The following is a 24,491-nucleotide window of genomic DNA, read 5'->3' on the forward strand; positions in this document are numbered from 1 at the left end:
GAAGCCTGTCCATAGATTAATGATTCCATTGCCAGGCCCCAGGCCAGGATTCCCAGTCCCAAGAAGTGGCAGGAGAAGGCTCTGGACATTGCGGCTCCAGCATGGCCCAGAGTATGCCCAGGGCTTGGGGACTGGCTGTCACAGGGATTTACGGCTGTTACTAACTGACATCTTGTTTTTGCCAGGGCCAATCAGAGATGCTCAGGCCTGACTGATATACCATTGTTTGCCACCCTGATGTTTCTGGAGCTGAGGCCTGCAGACCCTCACCCCTAAAGGATCGGGGTGTTTTACTGCCTGGCAGGCCAGATGACACAACCTGACTTGTCTAGAGGCTGAACCAGGGGTGCTGGGAGAGAGGGGGGACCTTGCCTTCTCTCGCTTAACATGGGGTGGGAAAAATCCAGCCAGGCAAAAACATATTCCATCTGATCTCTCACTATTCTAAGTATTCAGTCTTTTTTCAGGTTGCTGCCCCCTCCCTGTCCCCTGTCCCCCTCCCTGTGGTTTTTGTGCTTTTAGATTGAAGGGAGCGCAGCTCAGAGCACGAACTTTGCAGTCCCAAAGATTAACGTGCAACTCAACCACTTACTTACTCTATGTGCAGCCACAGGCAAGGTACTTATCCCCTTTGTGCCTCAGTTTCCTTAGCTATAAAGCAGGGAGAAAAAAGAGTGCCTACCTCACAGAATTATTGTGAGGACCAGAGTAATAGACAACAGCTGCAAGGTACTTTCCACAGTGCTGGGCATATAACAAACAAGAGATCATGGACATCATGACCAAGAGCGAGGACTCAGGCCAGACTGCCTGGCTGCAAATCACAGCTCTGCTACCTATGACCTGGGTGACCTGGAGTAAGTCACTTAATGTCTCTGTGTCTCAATTGCCTCATCTGTAAAATGGGGATAATGAAAGTCCTTATTTCACAAGATCATTGCAATGATTAAATGAATTAGCATTTGTAAAGCACTTAGCGTGCCTGGTGCCTAGCAAATATTCAGTACTTGTTAAATTAACTATATAAGTGTTCAAGACATGTTGGCTATTACTTCTATTATGTTTCCATTATTGTTATTATTTATGTAATTTTTTGAGACGAGTCTTGCTCTGTCACCAGGCTGGAGTGCAATGGCATGATCTTGGCTCACTGCAACCTCTGCCTCTCTGGTTCAAGCAATTCTGCCTCAGCCTCCCGACTAGCTGAGATTACAGTCATGCGCGACCATGCCCAGCTAATTTTTCTATTTTTAGTAGAGATGGGGTTTCACTATGTCGGTCAGGATGGTCTTGATCTCCTGACCTCATGATCTGCATGCCTTGGCCTCCCAAAGTGCTGGGATTACAGGCATGAGCCAACACGCCCGGCCTCCATTATTATTAGTAACTTTATATTATGTCCTATAAAGGAGGCAGGACAAATACTCCTATTTCACTCTGCAGATGAAAGGTTATGTGACGGGGGCAGATCCTCAGTTTAGCCCCCACTGTTACTTGAGTAAAGAATTACATCTTCTCCACACTGTCTGTGTGCCCTCAGGTGTTCCTGTTGACAGTTGACCTCTTGCCACTCTACGGCCTGTCCTTTTTTTTTTTTTTTTTTTTTTTTTTTGAGACAGAGTTTTGCTCTTGTTCCCCAGGCTGGAGTGCAGTGGTGCAATCTCGGCTTACTGCAACCTCCACCTCCCAGGTTCAAGAGATTCTCCTGCCTCATCCTCCCGAGTAGCTGCGATTACAGGCATGCACCACCACGCCCAGCTACAGCTAATTTTTTGTAGTTTTAGTAGAGACGAGGGTTCCCCATATTGGCCAGGCTGGTCTCGAACTTCTGACCTCAAGTGATTTACCCCACCTTGGCCTTCCAAAGTGCTGGGATTACAGGCATGAGTCACTGCGCCCGGCCTGTCCTGTCTTTTTGACACCCAAATCTGATCATGCTATTCCCCCTGCTTAAAGCCCCTGATGGGAAGCCTGTACTGTTGGTGGCCTCCAGGAACGTCTCTCCTCCTTGGCAAGGCCCATGAAGCTCTGGACCAATTGGCCCTGGCTGGTCCCACTGACAGTTGCATTCCCTCTATGATCTGCTACACCTCTGGGGCCTGGACAGGCCATTCCCTTTGCCTGGAAGGGCCTTTTGCCTTTTTTCCATCCAGCTCAAGTGTCAGCTCCTCCCTGTACCTACAGGCAGAGTCTGGCTCCCTCCTCTGGGCTTCCATCTGCTTGGCTCCAGTGTTCTATTGCATGGTTCTCATTTGTTTAGGAGATGTTCAACTCCTCCAGCACACTTCCCTGTCCTTGGAGGGCGGGGACCATGTGTCATTTATCTTCGTATTCGCCCCATACTTCTACCTCTTTGAGGCTGAAAGTATACCTGGCATATGTTAAATGCTCAGAGATTGTGACTAGATGAATAATAATGATAATTACGACACTGTCGCCTTGCATCTGTAATGCGCATCATGATTCAAAAGCTCTCACACCTTTGTGTTTTCATCTTGGTCCCAGTCTGGTGCTGACTTGCAGTGCTGTCCTCCATAAGCTAGCTTATCTCCCTGGGCCTCAGTTTCTTTCCCTGTAAATGATCTGTAGTCGCTGTCACCTCGAGGCTCTTATAAAGGTGAAGTGGATGCTTATTTAAGAATGTGTTTGGAATCAAGTTCTAGACATACAGAGGCTGTCATTGTTTTTGCTCATCTTGCCCTTGGACTCCGCAGCTGATCACCTTGCCAGATGGGAAGAGCCACAGGAGAGCATATGCCTGAGGGTGGCTAATAATGTGTATTTTTCTTTGCCCTACATATTTGTGTGATGCCTGATGGTAATGGATAGCTGTAAAGACTCATTATGTCCTGTGTAGCTGCAGGGGTATGCATCTTCCTTCTGTGTTACTGATTGGGAGGCTGAGCCCACAGAGAACCATCCAGGGCACACAGGCAAACCCTGCTGTAAGAAACTCAGTATATGAACATCCGGACCAACAAAAAAGTGGATGGTATTAAAGCAATTTTAAAAAATCATTCTTCATTTGAAGAAGGGATCCACTGGCATTTCTTTAAATAGGAAACCATGGCTGTTTTTAGGTTGAGGAGTTAAAACCTACCTAATAATGAATGTGATGGGCCAAGAAGGGGGAAGGCAGAAAAGCCTAAAGATGTGGTATTAGTTTCCACTCATGGTAAATGAGAAGTGAAGATAAAACACCCCTGAAAAAGTGCATCTCTCTAGAAATAGATCTGGATTTGCAGGCATTCCATTTATGGGCACCTGTTTCAGAAGTAGGTCTGTGGTTATAACAGAGAGATACCCATAACAATCTTCATTTACACAAAGGACTTTTATTCTATAAAGCATTGGTTTGCAAACTTTTGCATTTCTTGAGACAGTAAAATGTCTCTTCCTTCAACCCCCACACCTCCAAAAGGGAAGGGCATTGACATAAAGTTATGTTCTTTTAATTTTACCAAGTAAGAATTTGAGCAATACATTTACTGTCATAATTATTTCATGAACAGAGCATTTTACTTCAATAATTAAATAAGCATTTTTTGAGATCCAGTAGCCCCAAACACTGTGCTAAGTAGTGGCTGTTTAATGGCAGACACGATAGGCATGGCCCCTGCTCTGATGGGACTTAGAGTCGGATGGAGGAGGGGCATGAAACAAGCCAATACATAAGAACACATAGAAAGGGTACTCTGAAGAGAGACACAGAGCTAAGATCAAGGTGAGGGGAGATGGCTTGCCTTTTGGTGGCATGGTCAGGGAAGGACTGTCCTACAAAGATGCAATAAACAGGGACAATGACATTGAGACACAAAGGGAGAGAAGGAGCTGAGTAAGGAAAGGGAAATAAGTGTTCCAGGAAGAGGAAACTGCACTTGCAGAGGCCATGAGGTGGGAAAAGAACTTGATGTGCTCAAGGTCAAAAAGCAGGACAGACACATCTCAGGATACAGAATGGCTCTTTAAATGAAACACATTCAGCTTTATGAAAACTTATGACAGTGAGTGTCTTTCTGTCTTGCTTTCTGCTTTCTTTCCTTGCTTTCCTCCTTCCTTATCTGGCTGTGGCCTCGTGAAAGGTCCTCTTGGCCCAGCACTACAATCCTGTTAAAGAGGTCCTGTGTGGGGAGTATAGACCGTGTGCTGAGGGGAATGGGGAGCTGGAGGTGTAACTCACTGGGTGTCTTCCCTGACTCAGGGGATGATGAGCCTTGAGCCTGTCCAGCCTGTCCTGAAATCTCCTTAGCATTCTTGGAGTCTAATGTCTGTATCCCTCGGAACCAAGGTGGACCTGAGGCATTGGCCACTGGCCTGAGAGTATTAGTCACTTTCATGAATGTGGGTAAGCTGGTTGCAGCCTCATGGTTTGGGTTTTTGGACAAGCAGACAACCACAAGGTGTTTCACCTCTTGGCCTTCAGGTTTCCGGCATCTGCAGGTTCCTCCTTAGGATTTGTTGTTTTCCCTGAAACAGGCTGGAGTTGTTCCCTGGCAGAAAATAAGACTGGGCTGCACAAAGCTTTTCCACAGGCAGGCAGGCAACTCGGAGCTGTGGGTTGAATGCATAACTCATTCACTCACTTACCAAATATTTCTTGAGTGCCAACTGTGTGCAACCGTGTGCATGACGCTGTGCAGCGCACCGCAGGAAGCAGAGGAGTGCCCACCACGAGATGCTCCTGGTCCACACAATGGCATCTTTTGCCTCAAACTCTCCCTATGTATATTGATCTTGTCACCTCTGCTAGGCTTAAGCTCCTTGTGGGAGGAAGCTTCTTGTCTCCTTCTGTTTTGACCCCTTGACACCCCTGATAGGTGCTAGTGAATCTTGAATTATGTCTCTGACTTTTGCAGTCTCAGGGAACTCAGAGTCCTTAAAGATACGGTTGGGTTTTCTTCTTTGACCAATTTTGGCTTCTCCTGTTGGAGGAAATCCCTCCCCTCTTGCTTCCATCTATCCAGTGTCCTTCATTGTCACAGGGTTTCTAAGGAGCAAGAGACTCCTGCTCATCTCTCCCAGAGACTTGGCTTCTTCTGAAATTTTCTACAAGAGTCAGTCTACAGGGTAGTCTATTCTAAGGTGTCAAGTCCCTTTTAAAAACAACATCTGCATGGTAAGGTATAAAGAGGAGATGAGCAGGTAAAGGGGGGATTATCTGTGGGTGGATTCTGAGAGCCCTCTGTCTTCTTTGCACTACACGAACTGCCTTTCTTTGGTGACTCAATTATTTTTGGGGGTGAGGATGGGGTCTGATGGTTTGGGACAGGTTGAGCAGTGTTGGCTGAAGGCAAACTGAAGTCCACAAAGCCTATCTTGATTGCTCTTCTTCCCTTTTCTGCACTCCCCCCATGATGCCTCTCATCTCAAAGCACCCCTGAACTCTCCCTCCTGGATGGAGGCCTAAAAGTCTCTGCTCCCAGTGCTGGGCCCACATTCTCAGCTGAGTCTTTCCTACTAAAATCCTGCTTCAGTTTTCGCTTCCAAGGTGCTTTTGAAACCTACAAGCCCCTCCTTTCTCTCCATTGTCTTTCTGCACTCGTGTGTTACTCACCTTCAATTGAATAGGGGCCCAGGCAGAACTGGAATCCCTGGGATGGTTGTTTCTCCAGCTTTCAAATGTCAAGGCTGGTGCCATGGTGTATTACTTCGTTCTCATGCTGCTATAAAGAACTGCCCTGGGGCCAGGTGCAGTGGCCCATGCCTGTAATCCTAGCCCTTTGGGAGGCCAAGGTGGGCAGATCACTTGAGGTCAGGAGTTCAAGATTAGCCTGGCCAACATGGTGAAACCCTGTGTCTACCAAAAATACAAAAATTAGCCAGGCGTGGTGTCGCATGCTTGTAGTCCTAGCTACTTGGGAGGCTGAGGCACGAGAATCACTTGAACTTAGGAAGCAGAAGTTGCAGAGAGCCAACTTCTGGAGTTCCAGTGCACTCCAGACTGGGAAACAGAGCAAGACTCTGTCAAGAAAGAAAAAGAAAGAAAGAAAAAGAAAGAAAGGAAGAAAAAGAAAGAAAGGAAGAAAGGAAGAAAGGAAGGAAGGAAGGAGAGGGAGAAGAAGAAGAAGAAGGAGAAGGAGAAGAAGAAGAAGAAGAAGAAGGAGAAGGAGAAGAAAAAGAAGAAGAAGAAGAAGAAGAGAAGGAAGGAAGGAAGGAAGGAAGGAAGGAAGGAAGGAAGGAAAGTAGGAAGGAACTTCCCGAGACTGCAGAATTTATAAAGAATAGAGGTTTAATTGACTCACAGTTCAGCATGGCTGGGGAGACCTCAGGAAACTTACAATCATGGCGGAAGAGGAAGCAAATACATCCTTCTTCATGTGGCAGCAGAAAGGAGAAGAATGAGAGCAGAGCGAAGGGAGAAGCCCCTTATAAAACCATCAGATCTTGTGAGAACTCACTATCATGAGAATAGCATGGGGGAACTGCTCCCATGATTCAATTACCTCCTACTGGGTCCTTCCCACCACATGTGGGGATTATGGGTACTACAAGATGAGATGAGATTTGGGTGGGGACACAGCCAAACCATGTCACATGGTGATGCCTCTGCTATCTGAACCTGTCCAAGGTCCCTAAGTGAAAGGATGAGGATCCCATTGTTTGCCTCCCACAACAGGCTAGGCCCAGATGAGGATGATAGAATTACAGTGAAGGAGGAGGAGCCCAGTTCTCCCATTTGCCACCCACAGTACAGCTTCTGTAGCATCCAGGTTTGTGTGTCTGTCAAGTCTGTTTGGACCTATGGGTTAAAGAGCAGCACTTAGATAACAACTGGTTTGTTCTCTCTGTCTGTCTTCTTACCCCCTCTCTCTCAATCAATCATCTATCTCCCTACCCATCACCTATCTTTTTCCATCTATTTATCTATACATGGGCACATGCATGTAAACATAGATAAGTATGTATTTTGGAAAGTTTTACTTGCAAAGGAATCCTACATTGGGTTCCCCCTAAAGCATATGGCATGTCTTGTGCATATCTGCACGTTCCCTGGAGCAAAATACGTTCCTTCTAAGTTCTGTAATCTGTCTTGACTGCAAGAAGAGGATCCTGAGGCTTTTTTCCTAATAGTTTTTGTATTTAATGGTGATGATGATATTTAATTTAGCCCGCCATAGTAGTCTGCAAGGGATGTCCAGACTTTTTCTTCTGCCCCTGTTTTGGGGACTCCTGAGGGTCCCTTACCCACTGGTCTGGCTACTTCCACAAACCGGTCATTAATCTTTGAGCAAATGAGAGTCAAACTGCATAATTGGCCTCATGTGGCTGTTAGCTATGGGCAGAGGACGGGGTAGAGGATGCTCCAGTATCACGGGTCTACTCTCTGGGTAACTGGCATTTGTGCCCCAGCCCCATATTGTACCTCTTGTGGACGTTAAAGGAAAGGCTCCTTTTATATATGAGCAAAGATGGGCCCCCTCAAGAAGCTGGTGGCTGGTTCTATAAGAATCCTTGTAGATACATTGTTTTGGTGAATTTACCAAGGTTCTCAGCTTTGCGGATCAAGACCATGGGTTTATAGCACTCAGCACTATTGACATTTGGGCCGGATAACTTTTCATTGGAGGAGGCTGTCTTACGCATTTTAGGGTGTTTAGTTGCTTCCCTGGCCTCTGCCCACTAAATGTCAATAGCACTTTCCTCTCAGTTGTGACAACCACAAATGTCTTTAGACATTACCAAATGTCCCCTGCAGGGCAAAATTGCCCCCAATTGAGAATCACTAGGTTAGCACATGAGGAAGGCTCCAGCAATTTGGGGAGAGCTAATAATTACCAAATGCTTACTTTTTTTTTTTTTTTTTTTTTTTTGAGACAGAGTCTTGCTCTGTCACCAGGCTGGAGTGCAGTGGCGTGATCTCGGCTCACTGCAATCTCCACCTCCCAGGTTCAAGCGAGTCTCCTGCCTCAGCCTCCTGAGTAGCTGGGATGACAGGCACGCACCACTACACTCAGCTAATTTTTGTATTTTTGTAGAGATGGAGTCTCACCATGTTGGCCAGGATGGTCTTGATCTCCTTACCTAGTGATCGGCCCACCTCGGCCTCCCAAAGTGCTGGGATTATAGGCATGAGCCACTGCGCCCAGCCAAGAACAATTGTTATATAAAGTTGATATACTGGTTCAAGTCAGGAAAATTGTGTGTTATGTCACCTGGGACTCTCGGATAAGTTTGCTAACCTGTTATAGCTCTGGAGGCAAGCTCTGCAGAAAACCCAACTCTATGCTGGAACCAGAGTCACAAAAATAAATTTAGTAATTTCATGGTTTAATCTGGAGCTCCAAGGAACACTAGTTTTGGAGTTATTAATGGTAGTTCCATATAGAAAGAGTTCTTATGGTCAAATGAATTGGGGAAATATTTAATTAAAAACAAACAGATTTCTTTATTTCAGAATTTATCAGAGCCTTTAATATGCTAATATAGGCTAAAAGTCACCTAAAGAATTGACATTCAGTGTTGGCCAAATTTATTAAAACTTGTGGAGTAATTCTTGAGACTTTTCTTCACAATGTAAAGTGTGGAAAAATGGTTTATTAGCAGCAGGTTGAGAAGGCTCGAGGCATCTATCCTTGCCACCTGTGGGCGGTGCTAGGATGGGCACTGTCATCCTGTGCTTGGGGACTTCCCTCTTCTTTGGCACTGTTGGCTGGTCCTGGCTACTCCCCAGCCCTACCCCAGCCTCCGGCTTCTTGGAGATGATGTTAATGTGTTTCATCAGATTGACATCTAATCTAAAGTGATTGCTTTTGCTTATCTCTGCACTGATTCAGCACTGGATTAATCTTACAGTTTTATTCTGAGAGAGCAAACTATGTTTCTTAACTTTTTTTATTCCCCCAATGGGAATATCAGTGGAGGCCCACGTGCTGACATCCTTTGGTTTATATTCCCAGGGTGTCCTGTGGACCACGGGAAGGACTGTTTGGGGCTCCTTCCCTCACTAGGGAAAGCAATGGCGGGCAGTTGGCACTTGGGAAATAGGTACTGAGTGACTGGATGGATAGTGGGTCACATCTGAAAGACAGGACCAGGATTTTATCTAATATGTATTTTGAGGTGTGGCACATCTGAAATCTATGCACATAATACATGCTATGTAGCCGTAAAACACACATGGCATTTGGATATGGCTTGGAAGAAATTTTCTCTCCCCCTTTTACAATCTAGATCAAACAAAATCATAACCCTCCTCCCCACAAAAACAATTAAAATACCCAGACTGGCCAAGTGCCGTGGCTCTTGCCTGTAATCCTAGCACTTTGGGAGGCCAAGGCAGGAGGATCACTTGAGCCCAGGAGTTCGAAGTTACAGTGAGCTATGATCTAGCCACTGCACCTAGTCTGGGTGAGAGAAAAAGACCCTGTCTCCTAAAAACAACAACAACGACAACAACAACAAAATAACAATAGCAACAGAGCTCTCAGACTGTTAGTAGGGAGTTCACAGATGGCTTGTTTGCTGGAGTCCCTTCCCAGTGATCACAGTCCAAGCAGCAGAATCTAAAGTCACACAGAAACAGCATTCCTTGGCTGCATCCTTCTTCTCTGATGGAGCTATGGGCTGCTTGCCAGGGACAGAGAGGGAGGGAGAGGGGCTGGAGGGGTAAGAGGAACTGTAGCAAGGTGCAGTAGGTGAGGGAAACAAGACTTCAAAGCTGGGAGCAGCCACTGTCCCACCCTTCTGGGGAGTTACCATAAAGTGGAGGAGTTGAGATAAAGTGAAGTGAGTGCGCTATCATTTCCACCTATCGGTTGGTAAAAGAACTACCTGGGAGGTTGGCGGGGGCGGTAGGGGTGCCTGGCATTGCTTCTAGGGATTTGAGGGCTCCCCAGTACCTCCCAGGGGTAGCTTGGGGAGTTTTCTGTGAGCGAGTGAGAGGAACAACATGCAGCCTCACAATACTGAAATCATAAAGTTCATGTCTGAGATGGAAATCTGTGACATTTGGGTAGGGAGTCTTAGATATGTCGCTGCCCACCAATGCCAGTAATTCATGGTCACTAAAAGCCAGTATCCCTCTTTGCCCACATTCACTTCCAAATGTTCCCCTGGGAGGGCAGTACTGTCCTCTGGTGAGACCCAAACTTGATGTATTGATGCATGCATTTTTCAGTCATTCACCTAATTATTCATGCAGGTGATAGTTAAGGTCATTTCTGCCTGTCATGGCTGTGAATTTGGAAAGAAGATTGGTCTGCTTCTAATATGCCAGCACTGTGCTTGGGGCTCAAGAGCGTTACTACTTTTAGTTCTCAGAAAAATCCTGAGCTGGCCAGGCACAGTGGCTCACACCTGTAATCCCAGCACTTTGGGAGGCCGAGGTGGGCAGATCACAAGGTCAGGAGTTCGAGACCAGCCTGGCCAATATGGTGAAACCCTGTCTCTACTAAAAGTACAAAAATTAGCCGTGTGTGGTGGCATGCACCTGTAGTCCCAGCTACTTGGGAGGCTGAGGCAAAAGAATCGCTTGAACCTGGGAGGCAGAGGTTGCAGTGAGCTGAGATTGTGCCACTGTACTCCAGCCTGGGCGACACAGCGAGACTCCATCTCAAAAAACAAAACAAAACAAAAAATCCTGAGCTAGGTGCTGTCGGAAGAGCAGGTAATTGCCTGGGTTTCACAGGAAGTCTGCCTGGTCTGCATTTTATAAACAAGGAAACTGAGGCTCTGTAACTTGCCCAAGGTCAGCCTGCTAGTTAAGAGGCAGAGCTAGGATTCAGACCCATTTTCACAGTTCCACATTGCCTTGGGGAAGCAAGACACACCCACAGGGAGAGTTAAATAACAACACAAGTTACATAACCCAGGACAATAGTGCAGGGGATGTCACCAGGCAGTGTCTGATGAAATGCTAGGTGGCATAGAAAAACTAGTTGTCAGGGGAGTGCAGAAGGTGGAATTCTCAGACGGATGGGGCTAGGTCAAGATTTGGTGGAAGACATGGGGGTGGTACCAGATCCTGAATGATAGATAGGGTCTGAGGGACAGAAAAGCAGCATAGTCCCAATTTAGTTTCTCAAAACACATAGATGAGAGTTGACATGGTGGCTCACGCCTGTAATCCCAGCGACTCTGGAGGCTGAGGCTGAGGCAGAAGGATCGCTTGAGACCAGTAGTTAGAGACCACCTGGGCAACAAGCTAAACCCCATCTCCACAAAAAAATTAAAAAATTAGCCAGGCATGGAGGTGTGCACCTGCAGTTCTAGCTACTTGGGAGGTTGAGGCAGGAGGCTTGTTTAAGCCTAGAAGTTCAAAGCTGCAGTGAGCTATGATCATGCCACTGTGCTGCAGCTGCGGTGATGGAGAGAGACCCTGACTCTTAAAAAAAAAAAAAAAAGAAACATAAATGGGATTTGAGCATCTTTCTTTCTTATGAACTACTGCTTTTCAAACTTTTGGGTCTCAAGATCAAAATTTAAGTTATTTAAATTTAAATATTTTAAAATTATTAAAGATTCCAGAGAGTTTCTGTTTATTTGGGGTACACCTATCCATATTTATCACATTAAAATTGAAACAGATACATTTTTAAATTACTTAATTAAAAAATAAGCCCATTGCATGTTAACACAAAGGGCATACTTTTATGAAATAAATGACACTTTCCAAAACAAAAGTCTTAGAGACATTGCACTGTTGTTTATTTTTTGCAAATCTCTTTTTAATTTTTTAATTTAATTTAGTTTTTATTATTCTTTAAGTTCTAGGGTCCATGTGCATCTCTGTGATGCCTGGCTTCATAGGAGTCAGCTGGATTCTTTTATTTGCTTCTGCATTCAGGCTATTGTCTTATCACATGTCATGTAGCCTCTGGACTCTCCTGAGAGTAAGAGAGTGAAAGTGACAAAAAAAGCGTTAGTATTATTGTAAGACTAATTATGACCTTGCATACCAACTGAAAAGGCCGCAGGAACCTCCAGAGGTTCCCAGACCACACTTTGGGAACCACTGCTTACATTTAAACCTAGGCAGAAGAGGATGCTGAACTTGGGCAGAAACTCAGGTCTTGGATCTCCCTTCGGAAATGGGAAGATGAGGAAAAGCAGATAGGTCACCATCCTTTTACTTCCTGGAGCCATTGTGTGGCCCATCTCTCTGCGTCTGAGTGTACTAAGCAGGTGTGATTCAGGAGTGGTGACAGATTTGGCCCATTTCCACTTGGAGTCCTAATCTCACCTTGTATATGTAACAAAAGCACCTCATGGCTTTCTTCATAGAAACCTAGGAATGCATTGTAGTCAGTTAAAAGATAAGTTAACAGGGCTGGGCGTGGTGGCTCACGCCTGTAATCCCAGCTCTTTGGGAGGCCGAGGTGGGCAGATCACTTGAGGTCAGGAGTTTGAGACCAGCCTGGCTAACATAGTGAAATCCTGTCTCTACTAAAAATACAAAAATTAGCCGGGTGTGGTGGAGGGGCACCTTAATCCCAGCTACTTGGGAGGCTGAGGAAGGAGAATCACTTGAACCCAGGAGGCAGACGTTGCAGTGAGCTGAGATCACACCATTGCACTCCAGCCTGGGTGACAGAATGAGACTGTCTCAAAACAACAAAAACAAAAAGATAAGTTAACAGTGTATTTGTTCTCTGTTTGCTAACTGTGGAAAATAGAATATGGGAGGCCACTTCTGCCCTCCTGGGACTTTCAGTCCACATGGTTTACACGTGGTTATTCTTCCCCTAGAGATTCTTGTAGAAAATGCCGTGACTCCTCCCTGTTAAAATATGCAAGGGAGGAGGAGAGGCCCCTATGAGCCAGCATCCAGTTCACATGTGTTTCCAAGGTAGTCATTAGAGGGTGCCTGTAATAAGCCTCAGGAGGCTTCCAGGGCCTGAGGTTGAAGTGTTAATTTTCAACACAGATGTGCTTCTAGGCTCCTGGACATTAGGTTAAGTGTGTCCTGCTTGGAGCTGATCTGGGACGGTGTTGCCCTTTTTTCTAACCTGTTTGCCCTGCTAATAGTCACGATTTACCGTTCCTTCTGCCCAGTGTGGATTCTCTGCTACTCAGGACAGCTCACTGGTTTAACATTCCAATACATGTTCTTTTGTTTTGTTTTGTTTTTTGAGACGGAGTTTCACTCTTTTGCCCAGGCTGGAGTGCAGTGGCGCGATCTCGGCTCACTGCAACCTCCGCCTTCCGGTTTCAAGCGATTCTCCTGCCTCAGCGTCCTGAATAGCTGGGATTATGGGCGCCCACCACCACACCCAGCTAATTTTTGTATTTTTAGTAGAGATAGGGTTTCACCATGTTGTCCAGGCTTGTCTCAAACTCCTGACCTCGTGATCTGCCTGCCTCGGCCTCCCAAAGTGCTGGGATTACAAAGGTGAGCCACTGCAACCAGCCCAATACATGTTCTTTTAATTTGTTCATTCTGTGATGACATAGTCTGTTCTTACATTCTTTGAGGAGACCCTGCTTTCAGCTCTCATTTTGAGCAGCTAGCAGTCTAGAACCTCCACTTTTCACTTCCTGGCTTCAGACTCTGGGCAGTGTGCTGGCATCTTGCTATATGCAGGCACACCTTGTTTTATTGCACTTCGCAGATGTTGTGCTTTTTACAGATTGGAAGTTTGTGGCAAGCCTGTGTCAGTCAAGCCTATGGCACCATTTTTCTAATAGCATATGTTCACTTCATGTCTCTGTGTCACATTTTGGTCATTTCTGCAATATTTCAAACTTTTTGGTACAATTACGTTTGTTTGATGTTACTATTATAACTGTTTTGGAGTGGCGTGAATTGCCCCCATATAAGATGGTGAACTTAATTGATAAATGTTGTGTGTGTCCTTACTGCTCCTCCAACTAGCCATTTCCCTGTCTCTCTCCCTCTCCTTCAGCCTCTCTAATTCTCTGAGACAAAATGATATTGAAATCAGGCCACTTAATAACCCTACAATGACCTCTAAGTGTTCCAGTGAAAGGAAGTCTCAGAGCTCTCACTTGAAATCAAAACTAGAAATGATGAAGCTTAGTGAGGAAGGCATGTTGAAAGCTGAGACAGCTGAAAGCTAGGCCTCTTGCACCAGACGGCCAAGTTGTGAATGCAAAGGAAAAGTTCTTGAAGGAAATTAAAAGTATTGCTCCAGTAAATACACGAATAAGAAAGTGAAACAGCCTTACTGCTGATACAGAGAAAGTTTGAGTGGTCTGGATAGAAGATCAAACCAGCCACAACATTCCCTTAAGCCAAAGCCTACTCCAGAGCAAGGCCCTAACTCTCTTTAATTCTATGAAGGTTGACAGGTAAGGAAGCTGCAGAAGAAAAATTGTAAGCTAGCAGAGGCTAGTTTATGACGTTTAAGGAAAGAAGCCATCTCCATAACATAAAAGTGCAAGGTGAAGCAGCAAGTGCTGATGGAGAAGCTGCAGCAGGTTACCCAGAAGATCTAGCTAAGACCGCTGATGAAGGTGGCTACAATAAACAACAGATTTTCAATGTAGATTAGAAGTTGCTATCTAACACTTTCATAGCTAAAGAGAAATCAATACCTGGCTTCAAAGCTTCAAAGGCCAGCCTGTCTCCCTTATTAGGGGCTAACACAGCTGGTGACTTTAAGTTGAAGCCAGTGCTCATTTACCATTCTTTACATTCTTAAGAATTATGCTGATTCTATTCTGCTCGTGCTCTGTCAATGGAATAACAAAGCCTGGATGATAGCACATCTGTTTACAGCATGGTTTACTGAATATTTTAGCCCACCATTGAGACCTGCTCAGAAAAAGATTTCTTTCAAAATGTTACTGTTCATTGACAGTGCACCTAGTCAACCAGGAGTTCTGATGGAGATGTACAAGGAGATTAATGTTGTTTTCATGCCTGCTAATACAACATCTATTCTACAGCCCATGGATCAAGGAGTAATTTTGACTTTGAAGTCTTATTGTTTAAGAAATACATTTCATAAGGCTTTAGCTGCCATAGATATTGATTTCTCTGATGGATTGGGGCAAAGTCAATTGAAAACCTTCTGGAAAGGATTCACCATTCTAGATGCCATTAAGAACACTCACATCTGTAATCCCAGCACTTTGGGAGACCGAGGCGGGCAGATCACGAGGTCAAGAGATCGAGACCATCCTGGCCAACATGGTGAAATTCCATCTCCACTAAAAATATAAAAATTAGCTGGGCGTGGTGGCACGCACCTGTAGTCCCAGCTACTTGGGAGGCTGAGGCAGGATGATCGCTTGAACCCGGGAGGCGGAGGTTGCAGTGAACCGAGATCACATCACTGTACTCTAGCCTCTTGACAGAGTGAGACTCCATCTCAAAAAAAAAACAAAAAACCGCCACCAACAACAAAAAAACCCACATTCATGATGCATGGGAGGAGGTGAAAATTTCAACATTATCAAAAATTTGGAGGAAGTTAATTCCAGCTCCGTGGATGACTTTGTGGGTTTCAGTACTTCAGCTGGGAAAGTCACTGCAGATGTGGTAGAAATAGCAAGAGAACTAGAATTAGAAATGGAGCCTGGCGATGTGACTGGATTGCTGCAGTCTCTTGACCAAACTTGAACGGATGAGGAGTTGCTTCTTAGGGAAAAACAAAGAAAGTGGTTTCTTGAGATAGAATCTATTCCTGGTGAAGATTCTGTGAATAACGTTGAAATGACAACAAAGGATTTAGAATATTACATTCACTGATAAAGCAGCAGCAAGGTTTGAGAGGATTGACTCCAATTTTGACAGAAAATGCCATCAAACAGTGTCACATGCTACAGAGAAATCTTTTGTGAAAGGAAGAGTCCATTATGTGGCAAACTTCATTGTCTTATTTTAAGAAATTGGCATAGCAATTTCTTGCTGTGGGGTTGCCACAGCCACCCTGACCTTCAGCAATCACTACCCTGATCAGTCAGCAGCTGTCAACATCGAGGCACGATTCCCCAGCAGCAAAAAGATTACAACGTGTGCTAAAGGCTCAGATGGTCATTAGCATTTTTCTTAGCAATAAAGCACTTTTCAATTAAAGTATGTACATTTTTAGACATAATTACATCGTACACACAATAGACTACATATAGTGTAAACATAAATTTACGTACACTGGGAAACAAAATATTTTTATGACTTGCTTTATTATAGTTATCTGGAACTGAACCTTCAATATCTCTGATGTATACCTGTACTTTTGATTCTCAGGATACATTCTTCTAAAAAATATTGCTGATTTAAGGGGTCAGATATGTCCTGGGAGCCTGTGGCTACTGATCCTATTGCCTCGGTCATCAGCCCTCCTGTTTTCCTAGGTGACATAGAGGGCTTGTAGGGTGGCTGTAGGGTGGTGGAAAAAGAAGCAGAACTGAATTCCAGGGCTGACTTTGCTGCTTGTTAGCTGGGTGACCTTGGGAAAACCACTTAACCTTTCTGGCCCTTACTTTCCTCATGGGAAATAAGATTAAAAATGTATGCGAAGGCTTAATATTGACAAGCTCTATTGAGTTTGAGATTTGACCTTAGAGTTTTTATTAATAGACCTGCCATTTGCTAAGCAAATTTTCTAGATAAAGATGTATACCTGGATGCATGTCATAGTACAGTCCCTGTTTGCCCAAGGTGAAGTTAATTTTATGTGATGGGGCAGAGTTAATCCTTGTTAGGCAAATGATGCAGTCTTCTCCGGAGTAGAAAACTGTGTAGACAAGAACAGCTTACCTACCTCTTAAGGCCATAGTTATTTATTTAGCATAAACCAAATACATGGTGATAAGGGAGATACAGTAAGATCTTTTGGAAGTCTTTTTATGGAAACTGATGTGTATTGAAGGTAGAAGACAAGCAATGGCGGAATGTTGTGTATGTCCAACCAGTGCACAAAAGTGGGAGTGGGTACCTCTAATGGGAGAGATCACTGGGGGCTTCCCGGAGGACGGGGTTCAAACTCTGCCTAAAGGATAAGGATAAGAGGATTTGGACTAGGAGGGAGGGCATTCCAGGTAGCTTAGAGGATTTGACCAAGCTTTTGTACAACATCTGTCATTCCACCCAGATGTTCTGCTGGCCATCATTTGCTCCCTGATGCCTTTAGTTTCTTGCCATTGCATTGGTTGGACTCTGCTTCTTGACTTCACATTGGGGCATGTGTTTTATTTTATTTTATTTTATTTTTAAGACGGAGTCTCGCTCTGTCACCCAGGCTAGAGTGCAGTGGTGCGATCTCGGCTCACTGTAACCGCTGGCTCCTGGGTTCAAGCGATTCTCCCGCTTCAGCCTCCTGAGTAGCTGGGATTACAGGTGCCCGCCACCACACCCAGCTAATTTTTGTATTTTTAGTAGAGACGGGGTTTCACCATGTTGGTCAGGCTGGTCTCAAACTCCTGACCTCGTGATCTGCCTGCCTCGGCCTCCCAAAGTGCTGAGATTACAGACGTGAGCCACCGGGCCCAGCCAGGGCATGTATTTTTACAGTAAACTCTGGGAAGCCAAGATGGAAAATAAAGCCCTTACTGGCTTAAACCAGGCTGAGGGAGATGGTCTCTTGAGTAAACACCATGCCTCGCTTTCTGTTTAAGCGTATCTTTTCTTTTCAAGCCTGCTCCTTCTGTGTAAGTGTATTTTTCAAAGTGTGACTCCACATCCTTTCAGAAAGTCCTTCGTATCCCATCAAGGGAGTAAGGTGATGGGTGAGAAGCTACTCTAAATAAATTAAGGGTAGTATCTGTTTTGGCTTCAAAGGGCAAAGGATCAAGGTTAGGGCAAGTAGAAATTTCTCCCTCTTGATTTTAAGTGAAATTTTTTATTTTTATTTTTATAAGACCCTAATTGCCTGCTTCATACCTAGAAGGCCAGAAACATTCCTGGATGTTGGACTAGCAAGCCAGAGAACAATCTAAGCAATGCCATTTCACTGGCCCCTTCTTCACCAGAACCCTTCCCCCAATAGTCCCATGCCCAAACACACGCACTCTTCACAGTATCCTCTTGTGCATGCTGCTTGCTTTGAGGGTGGTGCAAGTGCTATTGGGTGTCATTTTATATTACAGTTGTAATGCCCACGTGCCGCTGGAATCTTTGTATCTTAGTCACAGACTTCTAGAGTGTCTGAGCTGGAAGGAACCTTCATTCTCAGCCCCTTGTTTTACAGATGGGGAACTGAAAGCCCCCAGGTTGCCTGACTGTAAGTTGAGGTCTGTCTTCACCAGTTCATGGTTTGTTTTCAGTATCTGAGCAATAACAGCTGCTAATTATTGAGGCCCTGTGCTGAGTGCTTTTCATGCATCATGTCACTTATTTTTCATAACAACTGTATGAGGAAGGTATGACCATCATCTCTCCTTTAAGGTTAGAGAGGTTGAGTAATGTGTTTAGAGTTGGGTGTTGGAGCTGGGTGTTAGCAAAGATTTGAACTCAGTATACGGTGGCACTGGGGCACTGGCTCCTAACTGGTAGGCTGTGCTGCACTGTGTTTGCCAAGTGAGGCTGCCTCTATTCCCACTTCTTCCCTCACTTCCCATCGTCTTTCTTTTTCACTGCCCCACCAGGGATCTTGCTCTCAACTTGCCAAGGTAGGATTCCGACCATGGCTACCATGATGACTTGGAAGCCTGGACTCCAAAGGAAGGAGTTCCAAAGCCTTGATCAATGGAACAGAGGCATTGTCCTTGGGACCCGAAGGAGCTGATACCACGTCACTTATACCAGGATCCTTGCTGGTTAATTCACATAGGGCGGTGGAGGACACAGTGCAGTCTCTGTTTGCACTGGCTTATGGGAGACTGAGCAAGATAGAGTAGAGAGAAAGTAGATGAAAGGTGCCATGAAAGCCATCCTCAGCTCAAGCCTGTGTCTTCTTAGCAGGGGTCATTGCATCCTCTTTATTATCAAAGGGTGTGATCCTAATACGCTTATGAGACAGCCAGTGTAGATGTGATATCAAGCCAGCTCGGCCCTCCCTGGAGCCTCCATCATATGCATCTATGTGTCCCCCTTCATTACTTTCCGATTCCTTTTCCCCCTCCTACAGCAATAGCCTGAAGGATATTTTTAGGCCCCAGTGAGGCTGTGATCACTGACCCTTGGCTTCTGAAAATTTTTACACCGTTTTGAAGGGATGTGCATACTCAGGAATACAGCTATTTTTGAATCTGTACTAGAGATTCTAGGCTGTATCCTCCATGGGGGCTTATTTTTTAAGTTTGAGCAGAAAATATTCCAAGGGACATTGGTAGTGTAATGGATGATGAGCCTGTATGCTGATGCTGATTAGGCCAGAGTGGGTCCAGACTGCTCTGGCCATCCTTGACCGGAGGAAGAACTAGTACGTCCACCTTGCCTCAAGGGGAGCAGATCTGTCAATGGCTCAAAGCCTGGAGTGCAGTTCCTACTAGCTCCACCTGGAGTCTTAAAAGAGGAACAGATCAGCATGGAGGAGATCTTTGGGTCCTGGGCATTTTGCATTTTTTAAGGGTATAGAGTCATACTTTTATAGTTCAACAACATTGACAAGAATGGATGTTTTGAGTCCGTTGGTTAACCTTGGATTTGAAAAGAGGAAGAAAAACAGAAACCACACATTAGCAGGGCAGCACTGAGGTTACAGTCATGTTACCATAGACGCCAGGCTTGAAGAGCCGTTTGGGGACAACAGAGCACAACACTGGAAAAATAAATTTTTTAGAGACAGGGTTCCGCTCTGTCACCCAGACTTGAGTGCAGTGGTGCTCACTGTAACCTCAAGTTTTTGGGCTCAAACAACCCTCCCATCTCAGCCTCCTGGGTAGCTAGGATTACAGGTGTGGGCCACCATACCCAGCTAATTTTTTATTTTTTATTTTTGTAGAGATGGAGTCTTGCTGTGTTGCCCAGGCTGGTCTCAAACTCCTGGCCTCAAGTGATCCTCCTACCTTGGCCTCCCAAAGCTCTGGGATTACAACTGTGAGCCACCAGTTGTAATTTTTTTTTTTTTTTTTTTCCCGAGACAGAGTCTCACCCTGTTGCCCAGGCTCGAGTACAGTGGCACAATCTCGGCTCACTGCGACTTCTGCCTCCTGGGTTCAGGCAATTCTTGTGCCTCAGCCACCTTAGTAGGTGGGATTACAGGTGTGCACCACCACACCTGGCTAATTTTTGTATTTTTAGTACAGACAGGGTTTCACCCCATTGGCCAGGCTGGTCTCAAACTCCTGGCCTTAAGCTATCTACCCGCCTCAGCCTCCCAAAGTGCTAGGATTACAGGTGTGAGCTACCATGCCTGGCAAGCACAACATTTTTAATTTTCAAGAGCTACCAGTTTCTTTTCTGTCTCTGAAGAGACACTTCTCCCAAGGAAATTTCCATTAAAAAATTAATTTTGTGTGTCTGCCCGACAGATCATGGGAGACAGAGTGCTGTTATTTGTAAAACATTTTTAAAAATACATTTTTACCTTTATGGAGCAATGATATTCCTGGATTTATCTAAAAGGAAAATCTGACTGGTGTGGAAGAACAAGTGGAAGCTGTTAATGAAAATTTTGAAGTGAAGGAAATAGGAATGTGGGAATAGTGGGAGCCTGGGTGTTCTCTAACCAGGGAGAACTCTCAGGCAGAAAGTGGCTACTGTGGACAGTTTAGAGACTGGTGAGTTTAGGGCCTGTTGATTTCTGTTATTAGTTAGCATTGGCCTTTGTGTTTAGAGAGGAAGATGGTTATTACAGCTAGTGTCAGGAGAGCAAGGGGTGTCTTAATGGAGTTATGCACAGTTTTTGCCTATGACAACTCAGCCTCTTGGGCTCAGAGCATTCACTTAGACAGAGCAGCTCCATTCCTTGTGGTTTTCTGGTCAGTATTTTAGGACCATCAGTTCTGTGGCTCATGCAGGTGTGATGTATAAATGTCTGGCCTGGGAGAGATGCCAAAAAAGAAGTGGGGAGATGGAGTAAAAATCATTTGTCTGGAGGTTTTTCATTTACTGAGTCTCTTCAGGAAACTGGGAGAAGTTGAGTTTCCTTCCTTAATTCTCAAGTTCATTTTAGACATGAGAGAAAGAGACTCAGAGACATTAAGTGTCTTGGATTTTGTAGTTACTAATGGGGAAACCTAAGCCTGAAAACCAAGAATTTTCTGAATTCCTGGAATTTTTTTTTTTTTTTTTTTTTTTTGAGGCAGGGTCTCACTCTGTTGCCCAGGAAGAAGTGCAGTGGTGCAAACATTGCTCCCTGCAGACTTGACCTCCTAGGCTCAAGTGATGCTCCTACCTCAGCCTCCCAAGTAGCTGGGACCATGGGTGTGTGCCACCACACCTGGCTAGAATTTTTTGTAGAGACAAGGTCTCACCGTGTTACCCAGGCTGGTCTTGAACTCCTGGGCTCAAGGTATCCTCCCAAAGTGCTAGGTTTACAGACATGAACCAGTGTACCTGGCCAATTCCTGGAGCTTTTTACTGCTACAGACTGCCATGTGATTCAAATTAGGCTTTCAGAATGACCTCCTACTCCACAGAACTCCATTTTCACTGTCAGCCACAGTCCTAGAAATTCCACCCTTAGAAAGTCTTTCCTGTAAGTTAAACCTTGTTATGAGTAGTTAAAATACAGATGTCCTAGAGAAGGGCCATACCATCTTATCAGTCATGTGAACCTCAGTATAAATGAAATTTATGAGAGCTTTTTTTTGGAACAGACTGTCATTGGAGAGGGAGGAAAGAATATGGGGGCCCTGGACATCCTAGGGCAGGCAAAGGGCTCCATGTCGGGAGGCTAGGGACAGACATGTCTCAGGGACTCAGGTTTTTCTATAGGTGAGCCCTGAATGCCATTTTAAGTACATTCTACCCAGGTTGTTAGTGTTAAAATATTTGGATATGTTGAGGTTCTTCATATGTTAGTATCAACTCACAGGGCAGATTTATGTTTCAGAGTACCTATCATATAACCAGGAGCTTACTAAATAATGAAATACAGTATTATTGGTCATTACCTGTATTAAATAGGTTTATTCATCCATTGATATCCACCTTTTTGAAAAAAGGTTTGAAGTCAGTCTATAATATATATTATATGTTTTACTTATAGCTTACTTTGGGCAGTAGTAGTAGTGGTAACAATAATCATTATAATATCTTAGATGCTGCTTCCTCCAGGAAGTCTTCCCGGATCCTCCAAATCCAGCTACACATAGCTTTCTATGTGCATCTGTAGTGTGTTGCCTGCACCTTCCTCAGCCAGCACCTAACACACTATTTGGTATTTTCCTATTTGTTTATCTGTCTCTTTCACTATCTTTCTCAAATAAGATTCCTCATCTGACCACAGAACAACAACAACAACAAAAAACCGACATGAGTGAACTGTTTTCTGAGTTCTCCTAAAGATGGTACATGATTGGTAATTTTAGATAAACAGGAGAGAAGTTAAATCGTTATAATTAATGGATGTCCTAGATCAAGGGTCGACGACTTTCTTTAAAGGATCAGAGAGTAAATATTTTTAGCTTTGCGGGCCACAGAGTCTCTGCGAAAACAACTTGGCTCTACCATTGTAGTGCAAAAGCAGCCATAGACAATACAAATAAACAAATTTATTTATAAACAAAGGCAGTGACTGAGATTTGGCCCTGGGGCTGCGGTTTACTGGTGATCCCTGTGGCTTAGGGCTTGAGAGTTTACTCCTCTCTCAGAAGCTGGCTGAGGAGGTATCAGACTGACTGCATGTGAGCTTGATGCAGGCAGAGATTCTGACTTGCTTCCCACCTTTCCCCTGGTGGCTGGCCCTGTCCTGGTACACAGTAACTGCTCAACAAATATTAGCTCTTGTTCATTCATTCATTCAACAAGAATTTGTTGAGTGCCTGTTGTGAGCCAGGCATGATTCGAGGAGCTTGGGATATGTGAGCACAGAAAACAGATAAGGTCTCTGTCCTCATGGAGCTCACATTTTAGCAAGGGAAGACAAATAATACGCAAGAAACAGTAAATCATAAATGGTGGGGTATGTGATAAGATGATAAAGGCCACGGAAAAAGAGACATTACTAAGCAAGGTAAGGGGCATTGGAATTCCCTGGGGAGGTGCGGAGTGGCCAGGTTGGGGTGTTATGTGGGCTGGTCAGCACTGGCCTCGTTGAGAGGGTGAGGTTTGAGCAAAGACTTGAAGGAGGTCATGGAGTCAGCCTAGTGGCTGGCCTGAAATGCCCTCTCTCCTCCCTCTCACCGTCTCCACTATCAGCTTTCTTTCTACGCAGCTAAGAGTCTCTCTTCCCCCAAAGTCGTGTAGTAGGAAGCGCTCGGGGCTTCAAGGGACCTGGATTCCAGGCATGGCTCTGCTGGTGACCTCGGTGGGCTCTTTCTGCTCTGCAAGTCATAAGGCCACTTGGGGCCTGCTGGCCCCTGCCTTCTCAGAACAACGATTTTGCTTTGAGCCTGTGCACATGGCATTCATTGTGTAGCAGTTTCATGGGGTGGTCTTAGCTTCAAGGAAAACCTCCTGGAAGGCAGGGGCCATCTCACACTTTTTATATCTGCTGTATAGCAGGTGGCACCATGTGGGCTGCGCAGTTGAGGCTGGGTAATTATGAAGTGCAGTCCAGTGGAAAACATTAAACCCTGGGCTGGGTGCGGTGGCTCACGCCTGTAATCCCAGCACTTTGGGAGTCCGAGGCAGGTGGATCATGAGGTCAATAGATTGAGACCATCCTGGCCAACATGGTGAAACCCCGTCTCTACTAAAAATACAAAAATTAGCTGGGCGTTGTGGCGTGCACCCGTAGTCCTAGCTACTTGGGAGGCTGAGGCAGGAGAATCGCTTGAACCTGGGAGGTGGAGGTTGCAGTGAACAGAGATGGCGCTACTGCACTCCATCCTGGCAATAGAGCAAGACTCCATCTCAGAAAAAAAAAAAAAAAATTAAACTCTGAAATTCAGTTCCATGTCTATAGTTGAGCCTGATTTTACGTAATGCTTGCAGTCCTGAAAGACAGTATACTCATCCATGTAAACGGGGGGGTTGTCTGCGTTAAGTGGTGTGAGCATTGGAAGTTAGCAAATGCCAGTGAGAGAAGCAGCAGCTTGATGGTATGACTGGGAATCTGACAAACACAAAAGGAGATGAGGTTACACAGGTCCGTGTGTTCTCCGCCTTCCTGGAGCAACAGGACTTTTGGCCTGGGCCTCTGTTGTGTGTTAAGAGAACCCTGAGCCTGAGTGTAGGGGTGGATTTTTTGATGCGCAGATCCCCCCTGCAGGCCTGAAGTACTCACTCCCCAACTGCTGGGAGTGTGGGCTGCTGACAGCTTGCAGCTGCGCCCCTCCTCCCCAGGACTATTGCCTCAGCAGAAGAGAAGCCCCTTCCTGAGGGCAGCCCTCATGGAAAGACTGGTTTATGGGAAAGGTCTAGCCTCCTTTCCCCAAAATGAGACAGTTCTCCAAGTCCATCCTCGCTGTAGAGCTCCCCTCGGGATTGCCTAGGACTTTTGTTACAGCTGCGTCGCAGCCCACCTGTTCCCTCTGCCCAGTCCTGCTTCTATCACCCCTTCCACCTAGATTGTTTCTGAGAACAGTCTTCAATA

At 45.2% G+C, this 24,491-nt stretch overlaps 1 protein-coding gene across 19 annotated transcripts in view, besides 3 other annotated features; it reads left to right on the forward strand.

The window, feature by feature from the left end:
• Nucleotides 1-24,491, forward strand: part of PRKCE (protein kinase C epsilon) — a 536,712-nt gene that overhangs the window by 59,274 nt on the left and 452,947 nt on the right. The gene's annotated exons all lie outside the window — the stretch shown is intronic.
• Nucleotides 19,185-19,264: an enhancer, noted in NCBI's record as "active region_15690". NCBI's record gives its function as "activates an Ori minimal core promoter by ATAC-STARR-seq in GM12878 lymphoblastoid cells {active_cell/tissue: GM12878}" and the evidence as "EXISTENCE:reporter gene assay evidence [ECO:0000049][PMID:35858748]".
• Nucleotides 19,645-19,784: an enhancer, noted in NCBI's record as "active region_15691". NCBI's record gives its function as "activates an Ori minimal core promoter by ATAC-STARR-seq in GM12878 lymphoblastoid cells {active_cell/tissue: GM12878}" and the evidence as "EXISTENCE:reporter gene assay evidence [ECO:0000049][PMID:35858748]".
• Nucleotides 22,245-22,752: an enhancer, noted in NCBI's record as "NANOG hESC enhancer chr2:45959936-45960443 (GRCh37/hg19 assembly coordinates)". NCBI's record gives its function as "activates a minimal SCP1, AML or CMV promoter by ChIP-STARR-seq in naive H9 embryonic stem cells {active_cell/tissue: H9 hESC(naive)}" and the evidence as "EXISTENCE:reporter gene assay evidence [ECO:0000049][PMID:30033119]".

The sequence above is a fragment of the Homo sapiens genome, chromosome 2 (assembly GCF_000001405.40).
Source record: "Homo sapiens chromosome 2, GRCh38.p14 Primary Assembly".
Lineage (NCBI taxonomy): Eukaryota > Metazoa > Chordata > Mammalia > Primates > Hominidae > Homo > Homo sapiens.